This window comes from Homo sapiens, chromosome 12, assembly GCF_000001405.40.
Source record: "Homo sapiens chromosome 12, GRCh38.p14 Primary Assembly".
Classification (NCBI taxonomy): domain Eukaryota; kingdom Metazoa; phylum Chordata; class Mammalia; order Primates; family Hominidae; genus Homo; species Homo sapiens.
The window spans coordinates 3922067-3936617 of record NC_000012.12 but is presented as its reverse complement, the minus strand read 5'-3'; the positions used below and the strand labels follow the sequence as shown (position 1 = coordinate 3936617).

Sequence of the window (14551 nt, the reverse complement as noted above, 5' to 3'; positions counted from 1 at the left end):
CTTTTCAACTTGTATGGCTGAAACTCTATACCCATTGGACATCAACTCCCTACCCATTGGACAGTCCCCTCTGCCCACTCTGGGTAATCACCATACTACTTTCTGCTTCTATGAGTTTGACTATTTTAGATACTCATATAAGTGGGATCATGTAAGATTTGTCCTTACATCACAGGCTTATTTCACTTAAAATAATGTCCTTAAGATTCAGACATGTTATAGCATATAATGGGATTTTCTTCTTTTTTAAGACTTAATAATATTCCATTGCATGTACATATCACATTTTGCTTATCTATTCATCCATTGATAGACATTTAGATTGTTCCCGCCCCTTGGCTGTTGTGAATTATGCTGCTATGCACATCAGAATGCAAATATCTACTCAAGACTCTGCTTTCAGTTCTTTGTGATAAATATCTATATGTGAGATCACTAGATCTTATGGTAATTCTATTTGTGATTTTTTTTGAGGAAACCTCAGTACTGTTTTCCATAACGGCTACATGATTTTCAGTTCTCACCAACAGTGCGCAAGGGTTCCAATATCCTCCTCAATCATCATCTCCATATCCTCATCAGTGCTTACTCTTTCCTGGTTTTTTGATCGTAGCCATCCTAATGGATGTGGGTGATATTTCATTGTCGTTTTGATTTGCATTTCCCTTGTCATTAGTGATGTCAAACAACTTTTAATATACCTGTTGACCATTTGTATGTCTTCTTTGGAGAAATGACTATTAAGTCCTCTGCCTATGTTTTCGTTTGTTTGTTTGTTTGTTTGTTTGTTTGTTTGTTTGTTTTGAGACGGAGTCTCACTCTGTCCTCCAGGCTGGAGTGCAGTGGCGTGCTCTCGGCTCACTGCAAGCTCTGCCTCCTGGGTACACACCATTCTCCCACCTCAGCCTCTCGAGTAGCTGGGACTACAGGCACCCACCACGACGCCCGGCTAATTTTTTTGTGCTTTTAATAGAGATGGGGTTTCACCGTATTAGCCAGGATGGTCTTGATCTCCTGACCTCGTGATCTGCCCCCCTCGGCCTCCCAAAGTGCTGGGATTGCAGGCGTGAGCCCACCTCACCCGGCCCTTTGCCTGTGTTTTAATAGGTTGTTTATTTTGTTTATTTTTTTCTCTTTTGGGTATAGAGTTGTAGACGTCTTATATTTTTAAAATATTAATCTCTTACTATATATATAATTTGCAAATATTTTATCCTGTTCTTTGTGTTCCCTTTTCATTCTGTGACTGTTTTCTTTGCTGACAGGAGTGTTTTGGTTTGCTGTAGTCCCACTTGTCAATTTTCGCTCTTGTTGCCGTGCTTTTGGTTTCCTATTCATTGCCTTTTGTGGTTTCAATTGAGCATTTTACCTGATTCCGTTTTATTCTTCTTCTTCGCTCAGTTTCTGATGAGAAGTTGGAGGTAATTCTTATGTTTGTTCCTCTATAGATAAGGTGCATTTTCCTCTGGCCTCTCTCAAGACTTTTTCTTACTTTTGAATTTTCTGCAGTTTCAATACAATATGTCTAAATATAGTTGGTTTTTGTTTTATGGTTTTTTGTTTTTGTATTTATCCTGCTTGTGTTCTCTGAGCTTCTTAGATCTGTGGATCTGTGGTTTAATGTCTGACCAAACACAAATTTGTGGAAATGTTCAGTCATTGTTGCTTCAAATATTTATTCTGTTCATTTCTTTCTTTTACTTCTGATATCCCCATTATATGAATGTTACACCTTTTGTAGTCGTCCCACAATTTGTGGAGTTTTCTCTTTTTTTCCCCAGTCTATTTTGTGTGTGTGTTTTCATTTTGAAAGTTTCTATTGACATATTCTCAAGCTCAGGGAATTTGTTCCTTAGCTGTGTCCATTCTACTAATGAACCCATCAAAGACATTTTTTTTTTTCAAATCTCTAGCTTATTTATTTTATTTATTTATTTTTTTGAGACGGAGTCTCGCTCTGTCACCCAGGCTGGAGTGCAGTGGCGCGATCTTGGCTCACTGCAAGCTCTGCCTTCCGGGTTCACGCCATTCCCCCGCCTCAGCCTTCCGAGTAGCTGGGACTACAGGCGCCCACAACCATGCCCAGCTAATTTTTTGTATTTTTAGTAGAGATGGGGTTTCACCGTGTTAGCCAGGATGGTCTCTATCTCCTGACCTCGTGATCCCCCCTCCTCGGCCTCCCAAAGTGCTGGGATTACAGGCGTGAGCCACTGCACCCAGCCATCTCTAGCTAATTTTTTTTTATCTCTAGTGTTTTTTAACTCTAACCTTTTTTTTGCTTTTTTCTTAGAATTTCCATCTCTGCTTACACTGCTCATCTTTTCCTTACACGCTGTCTACTTGATTTACTAGAGCTCTTACCACATTAATCATGATAGCTGTTTTAAATTCCCAGTTCGATAATTCCAACATCCCTGTTGTATCTGAGTCTGGTTCTAATGCTTTTTCTGTCTCTTCAAATTGTGATTTTTGCCTTTTAATATGTCTTGTAATTTTCTTGATAGCTGGACATACTGGATAGAAGGAACTGCTGTAAATAGGCCGTTAGTGTGTGGTGGCAAGGCATGAGAGGAGAGTAAACATTCTATAGTCCTCTGGAGCAGGTCTCAATCTCTTAGTGAACCTGTGCCCCTGGGCTGTGAACCTCACAAGTGCATCTCAGTCCCCACACCCTGCCCTTGGGTGGGACAGAATGACTCTGGGGGCTGGAGTTTGGTATATTTCCCTTTCCCCAGTTTAGCTAGGTTCTGGTAAAACTCCAACATTTTAGGCTCTTTTAGAACAGTTTCTCTTGAGGGGAGACAGAGTACTCTGGTGTATTTCAGAATGGTTCTTTTCGCTCTTTACCTGCTAGGAATACAAGGGGACTTTCCTCTGATACTCACTGTAAGAACCTGGTGGAGCTCCTGCAGTAAAACTCACAAAAATGTGGTTACCCCTCTATGACTGGGTCTCACCGGAGTGTTTAACTCTCAAACTTGTCCACACTGAGCCTGCAGTAATTTGTCAGTTACAGTTCAGTTTTCCAAGGCGGGCGTTGCTTCCTGCAGTGGTTTCTGTGAGTAGGTTCCGGCTCCAGTTAGGTTGTAACTCTCTGTATTCACCTGTCTGTCTCTCCAATTTTGGGGGCAGCAGTTTACCCTGTGATTTCACATGCCTGATAGTTTTAAGGAGAATTATTGATTTTTTCAGTTTGTTCATCTTTTTACTTATTAGGACAGAGAGGCAACTTCCAAACCCCTTACATACCGGTCTGGAAACTTGAAGTCTGTAATAACTTTTTCATCAGTCTGGCTCACATCCTCCTTTGACCTTCAGAGTAGTCCTTAAGCAAGTCATTGCTATTTCTGCCACAGTGTTAGGTAGCAGCTGAAATGTAAGTATCGCATAGCCACAGTCTACGGAGTTCACCAGATCGCTCATCAGCTTTCCTGGAGGAAATTATCTTAGATCAGTGGTAATTCTCAATTGGGGACACTCTGCCCTCTAGGGAACATTTGGAAATGTCTGGAGACATTTTTAGTTGTTACAGCTGAGGAAGGTACGACTGGCATCTAGCAGGTAGAGGATGCTACTAACCATCTTACACGGCACAGGAAAACCCTCCACAACCAAGAATTATCCTGTCCAAAATGTCAATAACTCTGAGATTAAAAATCCCTGTCCTAGACAAACCCTGAGGTTTTCTTCTCCTACTCCCACCCCACCCCTCATCTTCACTTCCACCAATGTTGAGCCAACTCAATGCCTTCAGTGCAATTTTACAACTTTGAAATCCAACTTTTCTCTTGATTATTTTTCGGTCTCATCACCATAATCAGCATGCCAACACTTTCCTGAGTATCTACTGCCCACCAGGCAGCATGCTTGTTACCTCGTTATCTTGCTTCATTCATTCTCGTCAAGTATTAATTGAGCCCTTACTAGGTGCCAGGTAAACCACTGAGGGAATATGAGGGAAAGATGGCTGTCCCTGTTTTTATAGATGAGGGAGCTGAAGCTCACAGAGGTTAAGAGAAGTGTCCCAAATCACACAGCTCATAACTGGCTTGGCCCGCCGGACTTTGAGGTCACAGGTCTTTATAGTATGCCAAGCTAGTGCTGCACATGCTGAGAGAAGCCACCATAACTCTTCTGTCTTCTGGGATTCGTGGGTGCCCAGATGCTCTGTCTAATTGAGGCTAGCACTAAGTGTTTGCCAAAGTTGGGAAAACCAGGGCAGGATTGAGGAGGTGACACCATCAGGGCAGGGAGAGGAACAGAACCCCAATGTTCCAAGTCCCCACCCAGGTGCTCTGCAGGCCTCCCAGAGAGTGTGAATGGGTTTTGATGGGGATAATAGTCTCTCCAAATACACTCACTGCTAGTCTTTCCTATTGAGCAATTCAGCTTTCAAATGCTCGGTACATTAGACCAAAGGATGGGTGTTTTGTCTTCTTTTTTCCCTGCCTTTTTCTTTTTTAGGGAAAGCAATTTGCTCCTTTCTGATTTAGAATGAGATCTGGCAAGTAAGTGCTTGTTCTCCCTCCTTCCCTTGTTCCCCCACTCCCTCCCCACCCTTCAGTTAAAAAAAAAATCTTGGGGGGAGAGAGGGGGAATAAGAACACAGGATCCATGCTAAGCAAAACTATTTGCATAAGCTGTACACTTGGTCCTTAGAGCTTGAGCTGATCTAACCTATGACAAATTCCTCTGTCTCGGCTACCTGCCAGCTGCGTTTTCATCGGGGCTGGCAAGACAACTGAAGTCTACATTCTGTACTAATTAACGACCTTCAGGGGAGAAGACCACCAATTGCAATGCCAGCACACTTCGCTTGTTAAAGGGGACAGGGGGCCTTGTTGGACAAGGCCCAGGCTTTTTTCTTTGGGTGGTGGGCGGGTAAGCAGGCCAGGAAGGGTGAGGGGTGGGCTGGGGGTGGGGGGGGCGGGGTGCAGTAAACAGACCAGAAAGACAAACTCCAAGTTGTAGTAAGAGTTGGGAAGGCATCTGCACATGCCAGAACATTGTAGTGAACCCTGGGCTTCTGCAAGGTAACTCCACAGCAAGCAGAAAGGGGCCTGGGGGAGAGGGGCTCTCTTTTGGGGAAAGGAGTTCTGCTGACCTGAGAGCTGCAGGTGGAGCCCGCACTATCATGGGTAGCCTTGTTTAAAAACATCAGGGCTGCCTTATCTGGCTGGCTTCATGGTGGGAAGTGCCCTGGGGCCTGCCAGCCACACCCGCAGCACAGATAGTCATCAGCCTTGGTGGCATCACCTTCATCTGGTGAAAAGATCAGAGATTTGTTGTTACAAGCCACACAAGGAGGAAAAACCTCTGCTCTCCGGGATTCTGCTGATTTCATTTTTCTCTATTCTTGGGGGATGAGAGGAGGGATGGTGAGAGGACACTCTTAAAGAACATTTGGGGCCGGGGAAGAATCCTTCATGATCTCGCCCTATAACCTGGCCGCTCATCTTGCATTCTGCTGCACGCTGCCCGGCCTTTGGCCATGTTATGTGAACTCCTGGAGCCATCCTTCTTTCTTCTTTACCTGGATGGAGAGGGCCTCCACCTACAACACATTAGGACCTGAAGGGACCCTCAGCTCTCATTTCACCAAGCCTCCTGGATCAAGGACTAACTTCTTAGACACTAACCCCAGGTGGACGGTGACACCATAAGCTTTTAAAGAATGGAAGGGGATGCCCCAGTGTCCTCTTCTTCCTAGTTGCATGTTGCATGATGTTTGGAGCCTCTCTGTGAAAAGGATGTGGGCAAAGTGCTCTTGGCTAATGCTCCTTTTTCCAGGACCTCCTGCCCACCTGCTTAGCAGTGCCCTTTTTCCTGAAGAAGAAGCTGAGCTCTCTCTCTTCCATCACCCACTTGCCACCCCAGTCACCAAAGCCTCTCCCTTGAAACGAGTGAGTTCCTTTCTTGCAGGCACATCCATGTGGACCATGAGGAATAAAAGGGGGGCCAATTGTCCTTTCCCCCAGGAGGAGCCTGGAGTAGAAAGATGGGGTGCCCCTCTGCTCACCCCTTGCTTCTGCAGCCTGCCCCCCCAGCCCTGTATCACCAGCCCTATGCTTCATTAAGGGAGCACAATGTGTCCCCGTGGTCGCCTGCCAGCCGGGATGTCCTGTGTGACAGCAGATGCAAAGAGAATGAACAGGCGGCTGAAAAGGCTGGAGACAAAAAGAGCACATTGTCCAGAGCTCTGAAAGGGCTGCCTGAGAGGGGACATATGCATCTGAAAAAAATACCCCAGTGAGTCTCCCCCCCGCCAGCCTCAGCCCGCCCTCACCCAAACCTTCAACTGATACTGCACAATGATGTCTCCAAGCCAGGCAGGGCCAGGCCAGCTCCAGGCTGACAGCAGGCATGGGGCGAGTGAGTGAGTGTGGAGGGAAGGGTCCCAGGCACAGGTTCCCTCAAGGAAAATTCACCACCCCTGTAACCTGTCTGCTCTTGAATCATTGAAGACTGTCATGGAATCACAGCGTCACCTAATCACAGAAGACTGGAGCTGGGAGCGTCTACAGAAATCACTGGCTTAAACTCTTCATTTGACAGGTGAAAAGGGTAGATGACTCACAGCAGTGGACAGTAGACGCAGAGGCTGCCTGGGCACCCAGATCTCCCACTTCCTGATCTAGTTTGGGTGCCACAGCTACACATCCAGAGGATGAAGATGGAATTTCCAAAAGAGATAGGTGTCCTCTCTGGACCTCTCCTTGCTTCTTTGTCAGGGGATGGGGCCAAAACCCAACCTGGAAAGTGATTGTGTCATACCCATAAGAATCCCAGGGCTTGGTTGGATTTCTGAGGCTGGGGGTCCAAGAAATGGGAGAGGAAGGAAAAGCTAGCTTGCAAATGAGCTGTTATTTTGTGAAAGATGACTTCATAGTTTAGCAAAAGGGGTTCACAGGTCAAATATAAGACTCTAAGTTCTCTGCTCTGCTTTGTGAACTTGGGCAATTCACGAAACTACCGTAAACCTCAGCTTCAACACTGGAAATTCAGGACTAATTCGTCCTAATGCCAATGCCAATATGCTTATCAATACCAATTCTGGTGTCAACACTAATGCTAGCAATATCTTCCCTGTCTCTCCCAGAAAGCCTCTTGAGGATCTAATACATTACTATGGGTAAAAGCTCTTTGGAGTCCACAGAGCACTGTAGAAACCAGAATATTACTTTCAACGTTAAAAAGCGTGGGGGAAGCTGTCATTGCCTGTGGCCCTAATCCTTTGTAGGATATTTTCTAAACCAGGAAATGCTTCTTGACTTTGGCTTTTTGGACGAGGGGAGGAGGACTTGATGGGAGTCAAGATTCTTTTTAAAATCAGTTGTAAATTTGAAAAGACCTCTTTTTAAACATAATGAGCAAAGGGGCTTTCTAGAAAGCAAACTCTCCTAGGCAAGGAAGGAATCTGTGGGATCACCCTCCCTTTAATCTGTCTCCAGTGAATTTTCTGACATGAGAAAGTTCCCCCTCCACCTGGGGCCACTTCCTCTTTTCTCCTCAGCCCCTCCCAAGGTATCCTTAAGTGGACCCCACAGACTCAGACAGCATCTCCCCGGGAAATGAGCTCACCGGCTGTGTGCGAGCAGATGTGGGGAAGTCTGTGTGGTCTCTCACAACAGCTGTTCAAAATTCTTTTCCCCTGAAAGTTTCCATTCTGTATATGGGGAGGTGGGCAGGGGGGAGGGCAGGCAGACAGGCGAGGAAAGAATGTGAGCTCTCCACCCTGTTTTGGAGCTGTTTTGTTTCTTTGAGATCTCAATGTTTCAGAGACATTGTACATGCTGGAAGATGTCATAAATGAGTTTATTTTGTTCCAGATGTATGACACCAGGATCTCCGATTCGGATTATTCACATTGTGTTGCCATGACAACACACACACATACACATGCACACACATGCTAGTGTCCCAAACTGTGCCTGGCCCTGGAGAGGAAACAAGGGGACTAAGAGAAATACTTTTTCTTTCAAAGGAATTTCCCATTATGAAGTCAAATAACATATTTCCAAACCAGTTAGAAGCCTGGTCTATGCCATACTGCCCAGAACCCAGAGCAGAGGGATTGCCCTTTGGACTGGGGTGGTCAGAAGAGGCTTTGTGGAAGAGGTGGGACTTGAGCTGCCTAGGGAGGAGGAACAACTTGGGCAGAAAGGCAAGAGGCATCCTCAACAAGGTGGGAAGGGTGAACACGATTGGGGAAGTGGGGACAAGCTGGTTCTTTTCATCCACATGCACCCTACACATATCCAGATGTCTACTTAATCATTCCTGGAACCGAGAAGGCCAATGGAGAGCCAACGGGTCTATGCTCCATCTCTGAACTAGGATTGTGACATCATCCTTTCTCGCTTGTAAAATTTATTCAAGAAAAGGGTTCCAGAATCTTCAGTAGGTTGTTCTGGAGTTTTATGTTATTGACAGATCTTCTGTCATATTTACTTTTGATCCCTTTGGCAGCCTGGTGTTCACAACCTAAAAGCAGATCTTAAACTTATGGAACCCAAGACCCCAAAGAGTTACTATAGGCTGAAAGGGCCTCACTCAGCAAACACTATTGAACACCTACTGTGTGCCAGGCTACGTCAGGCTGTAGGAATTCAGACGTAAATTAGGGCGCTCCTGCCTTCAAGATGCAGTGTGGCAAATAATTAGGCATAATTTCAGAAAGTCGATGATAAAATGTAGGCCAAAAACTACACAAGAAAAAGTTACTCTGCTTGGAGGTTGGGGATGTTAAGAAAGGTCTGACAAAGGAGGTTATATTTGTGCTGGGTTTTGAAGGATGAATAGGGGTTTGCCAGGTAGACAAGGGAGAAAATGGCATTCTGGGTGCAGGAGTCAGTAGGTGCAACTGGGTGAAGAGATGGATAAGGATCCTCTTCTTTCCTCTGGGAACTTGCTCTCACACTTAACATGTAGTCAATTAGCATACACCAAAAGAATAATTAATAAATGCAGAAATCACCTAGCACTTCACAGGGAATATGAAGACCTTCTAGGTGGACCCAAGACAGAATACCTGAGACTAATACCAAATGTGTGGGTTTCTAGCAGTGTGCCCAGGATATTGAGGGCACTGGATCATTCCATTATTCATAGACCACCCTGAGCAAAGGGACACCAAGCTGAGCTCATAGATGCTTTAGCTATTTCCATGAAAGCCAGACACCAAGAGGAGGGAATGCAGGTTTGATGTGATGAAAAAGAGTCACATCTGTCTACGTGTGTCCCTTGATCTGTTCTCAAGTGTTTTGGTTATAGCATCTAAGTTTGTTTTCTCAACCTCACTGGGCTGAAGAGCAATACTATATGATGGTATTTGTTATTGCAATAGGAATAGTAATGATGGAAACTTACTAAACTCTGTTCAGAACACTTTGCATTTATGAGCTCACTTAATCCTCACAATTCTGTGAGGTAAGAGCGATGAAAGACAAGGACACTGAAGAGTCGGGTCAAGCAACCTGCCCGGGCCCGGGACACACAGCTGCTGATTACAGAGGCTGGAGTTGAACCTGGGCAGTGCCGTTGCAGAGCCTCTCTGTCTTCTTCCAAGGATGAAGGGCAAATCAGAACTCTTCCTCTACCGTCTTTATGCCCATTTACTGAGTTTCTTATAATAAAGATTATTGTTATTATTATAACCACCTTTCAGTGTTTCTATCTTACCCTCACATCTTCACTTTTCCCCTAATCTCAAGATAGAGTGGAGGGGAAGAAGGGGTACAGAAAACATAGACATTGGAGCTAGGATAGAGTAGTAAGGATCCCATATTATTTGGTGAGTTTTTAAATATTCTTTTTTCTCAACTCTTATTTTAGAATCAGGGGGTACATGTGCAGGTTTGTTACAAAAGTATATTTCATGATGCTGAGGTCTGGAATATGAATGAAACCACCACCCAGGTACTGAGCATAGTACCCAGTAGCTAGGTTTTCAGCCCTTGCCCCTCTCATTCTCTCCCACCTCTAGTAGTCCTCAGTGTCTGTTGTTACCATGTTTATGTCTATGAGTACCCAGTGATTGGCTCCCTCTTATAAGTGAGAACATGCAATATTTGGTTTTCTGTTTCTGTGTTAACTTGCTTCGGATAATGGCCTCCAGCCGTATCCTTGTTGCAGCAAGGGACATTAATTTCATCCTCTTTTATCGCCGCATAGCATTCCATGATCTATATGTACCACATCACATTTTCTTTATCCAATCCACTGTTGATGGGCACCTTGGGTTGACGCCTTATCTTTGGTATCGTGAATAGTGCTGCCATGAACATGTGTACACATGTGTCTTTTTGGTAGAATGATTTGTTTTCCTTTGGGTATATACCCAGTAATGAGATTACTGGGTTGAATGGGAGTGCCACTCTTAGTTCTTTGAGAAATCTCCGTTGTTTGATGATTTGAAAGGGATCCTAGGCATCTTCATCTCCTACATGGTCTTTTTCTTTTACTGGGGGGAATACAAGCTCCCCTTTGATCTCTGCTTCACCCCCCAAAACCCTAACAGAAAGACATCTCATTATGTAGATGAACATCTGAGGCACAGGGACAAAAATTCATGTACTGCTCATCGGACCCTGAGAACATGAGGGCAAGACAGGACAGGGACCACTATCATATAGTCCAGGCTTCCACATGGCTTGTGTGAGTAGTCCAGACCAAACCGGAGGGAGGCAGCCATGGGGCGGGCATGGCTCCATGCCCCAGTTCTGAACCACAGCAGACTGCACAGACCCATTAGGGTGTGCTTCCCCACCACATCTGAATGCTCCTCAGAAGATGTTTCATTTGAGTATTTCAGGCAGTTAACCACCTCATAACCTGATTTGTCCCATGACGTGACACCCCTTTGACACCCCTGGAGCAGCCATTGGCTGTTTGAAGGGGGACCAGAAGGATCTTCTTCAGTTCTCACCTTGATCTAGAACCAATGTCCTGTCTCCAAGGAGAACTGGATATTTTCTCACTGTAAGGTTGTTGAGCTAACTATTGTTTCTTCCCTGTGACCAGAACAGGAAGAGCAAAAATCTGAGCAATACTCCCACATTAATTTGAATAACCTTTTATTATTTGCCAGATCCTATGTTAAAAAGTCTTACCTATCCCAAAAGCTGCTGCTTAGGGTTGTGCAGGGTGTATTTAGACTACAATGTGAATGGCACCCCATAGGGTTGGGCAGTACACAACCGGCACAACTGTCCCTCAAGGCCTTCATTATCACTGCCCTCAGGCAGCTCGGTCTGGTTGGAGAAATGGTATCCAAACAACCACAAGTCCGTCTCATCAGCCTGATCACTGAGACACATCCAAAGAGCATAGAGAAGGAGGAAACCAGGACTTATTTTTTTGGGAACTGGGTAAGATTTCACAGCACGAATGTCCTTAAAGCTAAGCACTGAACAATGAATAGGAGTTCTCCAAGCAGAGCAGAAAGAAGGGGCATTCTAGGGGGAGGGACCAGAATGTGGAAAACCATAAGTGCAAGAGGACAGTTCATGGGTGGGGAAGTGGGGTGGTGGGGAAGGGTGGGGTGTAGAGAGGGGGTGGGGCTGGTGAAAGTCAGCTCACCGTCTTCTCAACCACACTGGTAATGCCTAGGTGGCTGCAGTTCAGTCAGGCCCCTCCCAAGAATCCTCTTGTCCGTGTCACTCAGGGCTGTCTGGGAAGGAAAAGTCCCCAGAGACAAGCATGTCCAATGCAGAAAGGAGATGAAGAGATTTATTTTTTTTAAGGCAAAAACCCCAAGCCTCAGCCCCACAGTACATCAGTGTGTAGAAGTGAGAGCAACAATTCACTGCCTGTTTGCACGGGCCAGGGCAGGGAGGCTTTCTGGGAGTGAGGTGAGAGCAAGGCTGTTCCCAGAGGCTCCAGTCTCTATTTGTGCAGACAGCATGGAATCCTTTCAAGCCATGACCATGTGGCATCCGCTGTTTCCCTCCAGGAAAATCCATGACATGTGAGGAATGGGCTGGCTTGGTCTGCCAGACGTGGGGGCTCCTTGCCCACTGGGTCGGGCAGTCCACTCAAGAGACCACAGAGGTACCAAGGATCTTTCAGCGCAGTCTCAAGCTGAATGTAAAGACAATCTCCAGGGTGAAGAGAGGGAAGGGAGAGAGGGTTTGCAGAGAGCACTCCTTTCTCAAGAAAGCACTCCAAAGACAAACCCGCCTCTAAGCCAGATAGGTCCCCAGAGCACTAGGCTACAGAGAGAAGAGCCCAGCAAATCTGGCTAGAGTTCTTATTTCTCCTACAGCCTTGGGGGAAAAGTACACAAAGTACCGGTAACCTCGAGCCACGGGGCAAACCCTGGCTGGCCATCAGGGCCAGCACTCTCTTGTCAAAACTAGATGTCAGGTACATGTCACTGTTCCAGAAGCTTCAGTCACTATCCTTTGCCTGCGAGCAGAATCCACCGTCCTCACCGTGGCTTATTAAAATCTGTCCCTCGCTCCCTCCATATTGGCATGGTTCATCTGCCAGCACCACGGCCGCCCCCGTGGCTGCTCACCCTTGCTGGAGCTCGCCACACCCTCAGTGCTGTGCTTCCAGCCTGCGAAGCCCTTCCCTCCCTTCTCCATCTATTGAAAAGGCAGCTACCCACCCAGAGCTGACTTGCACACTGCCCCTTCTTGCACCAGTAAGGTGTGATCTCTTTTCCTCTCCCTCCACATGCCTGCACTGTGTTGTCTGAACCTTGTTTTACTCTAAAATAAGAAGCAAATCTATATAATACAATGATGGGGGAGTTAGGTATCTTTCACTGGAGTTCAAGCTCTGCAAGGGCAGTAACCAATCGCCCATGGTGGCTTGTACAGTACCCCAAGTGTTATTGTGTGCCTGTTGGACAAAGGGAAGGAGGAGGGACCGGACCAGGTGGGAGTAGAATAAAAGGAGGGAGGAAGAGAGGGAGGGAAGGAGGAAGGAGGAAGTCATATGGTTTTTTGAAAACAACTGTGTTTAATGAGGTGATTTCTTATTCTTGAAGGTGGACCTTACAAATACTGCCTTCTGATGTGGATATAATAAACTCTGTCTGAAAGGGAAACCCTGAAAGCCAGATGCTTTTACAAAGATATCTACATGTGAGGTGGCATTATGTATTTGAATACAAGAACAATATGAGATACTTTTAATAAAGTTTGTCTTTATTTTTTTCCCAATAAAGATTTCTCAAGCATGTACCCTGTGACAGTCACTTCACTAAAAATCAGAAACTCAAACATGGAACTGGATGCTAGTTCTGTCCTCAAGAAGCTCAGAGTCTTTCAGAAAAAGAGGAGCCGTGAGACAAATTACCAAGTGCAAGCTCAGAAGCCTTGCGTTTGTGGTGAGAGATGAAGAGGGAGTTTGTAAAGATGTGAAAGCAGGGTCTTTCTCCTTGAAGTTCTGGGGAGGAATTGTAAATCTGTTTGTCTATTGCCAAAGAATACTTGCCTTGGAAACTAGAGAGAGCCTCAGATTCAGTCTCAGTGATAAAGTGCTTCTAAACTGGGTCAGGGACAAAAACAAAGGACAGACGATACCATAAATAATGAACTTATGGGGCAGAAAGTGTCAGCTCAAGTATTTAGAGGCTCTCTACAAGGAAAAGGAAACTAGGAATGTAATGATTTCATGAGAGGTTTTGGAAGCCTTCAAAATCAATAAATCAATTAATTATTTAGTTCAGTACTTTTCTCTCTTACTAGCATATTATGATTTCCCCAACTTCATCTCTCCCTGGTCATATCTGTCCTCTACAATATTCCAAGGTTGATCTTTCTGGGATAATATTTTGATCTTGTTACTCTCCTTTTAAGAATAAAGGTAAAATTTAAATGGTCATTTGAGGTCATTTTAACTGTATTCTGTGTTTTAAGAAGCCCTCCAACTGATTCTGATGCATAGTAAGTTTTGGGAATTAATCACTATATGGCTTATCTCTTCCACAAAAGAAGTATATTCTCCCAGGACAAGAGTCTTCCCTAATGCACCCCTGTAGCCCCTCAGCTCAGTGGCTAAGCACATGGCAGGTGTTCAAGAAATTATGGAAAGGTAAGATGCATCTTCTGAGCAGAGGCTGCTTGTCAAGTGGAAGGCTGGGTGCTGTGAGGAATAGAGGAGAATTAGATGAATTACTGTGCATTAGTTTAGATTCTACTGGAGGCGACAAAACCAAGACATACAGCAAGTGAGAATAACTAAGTGCTGATCCATAGCGTGCAGTAACAACGCAACACAAGCACAGAAGAGGAAAAGAGGTGCTGGGGGGTTTAATTGTAGGTCCTTATATGACTGAACCCTTCCTTCGTGGGTGCTTGATCTATTTCTTATCTGCTCAGGAATAAGCAACCAGCAAACTAGAGGTTAATAATGATGATGATGATGATGATGATGATGATGATGATGATGACGACAATCTACTGCTGTTTATGATAATACTAGCTAATATTTACTGAGGTTCCGCTACACGTTGGGAACTAGTCTGAGCACTTTATATATTAACTTATTTAATCCTCATGACAACCCAATGATAGAGAATTGTAGGCAGAGATTGGAG

The 14551-nt window shown here is 45.2% G+C and overlaps 1 long non-coding RNA gene across 1 annotated transcript in view; it reads left to right on the top strand.

Moving 5' to 3' along the window:
* The window catches only part of LOC105369608 (uncharacterized), a 36272-nt gene extending 22026 nt beyond the window's left edge, over positions 1-14246 (top strand). Inside the window, exon 3 of the long non-coding RNA XR_931557.4 lies at positions 13178-14246. This is a non-coding gene — a long non-coding RNA (uncharacterized LOC105369608). The remainder of the gene's footprint in view (positions 1-13177) is intronic.
* The last annotated feature ends 305 nt before the right edge of the window (positions 14247-14551 follow it).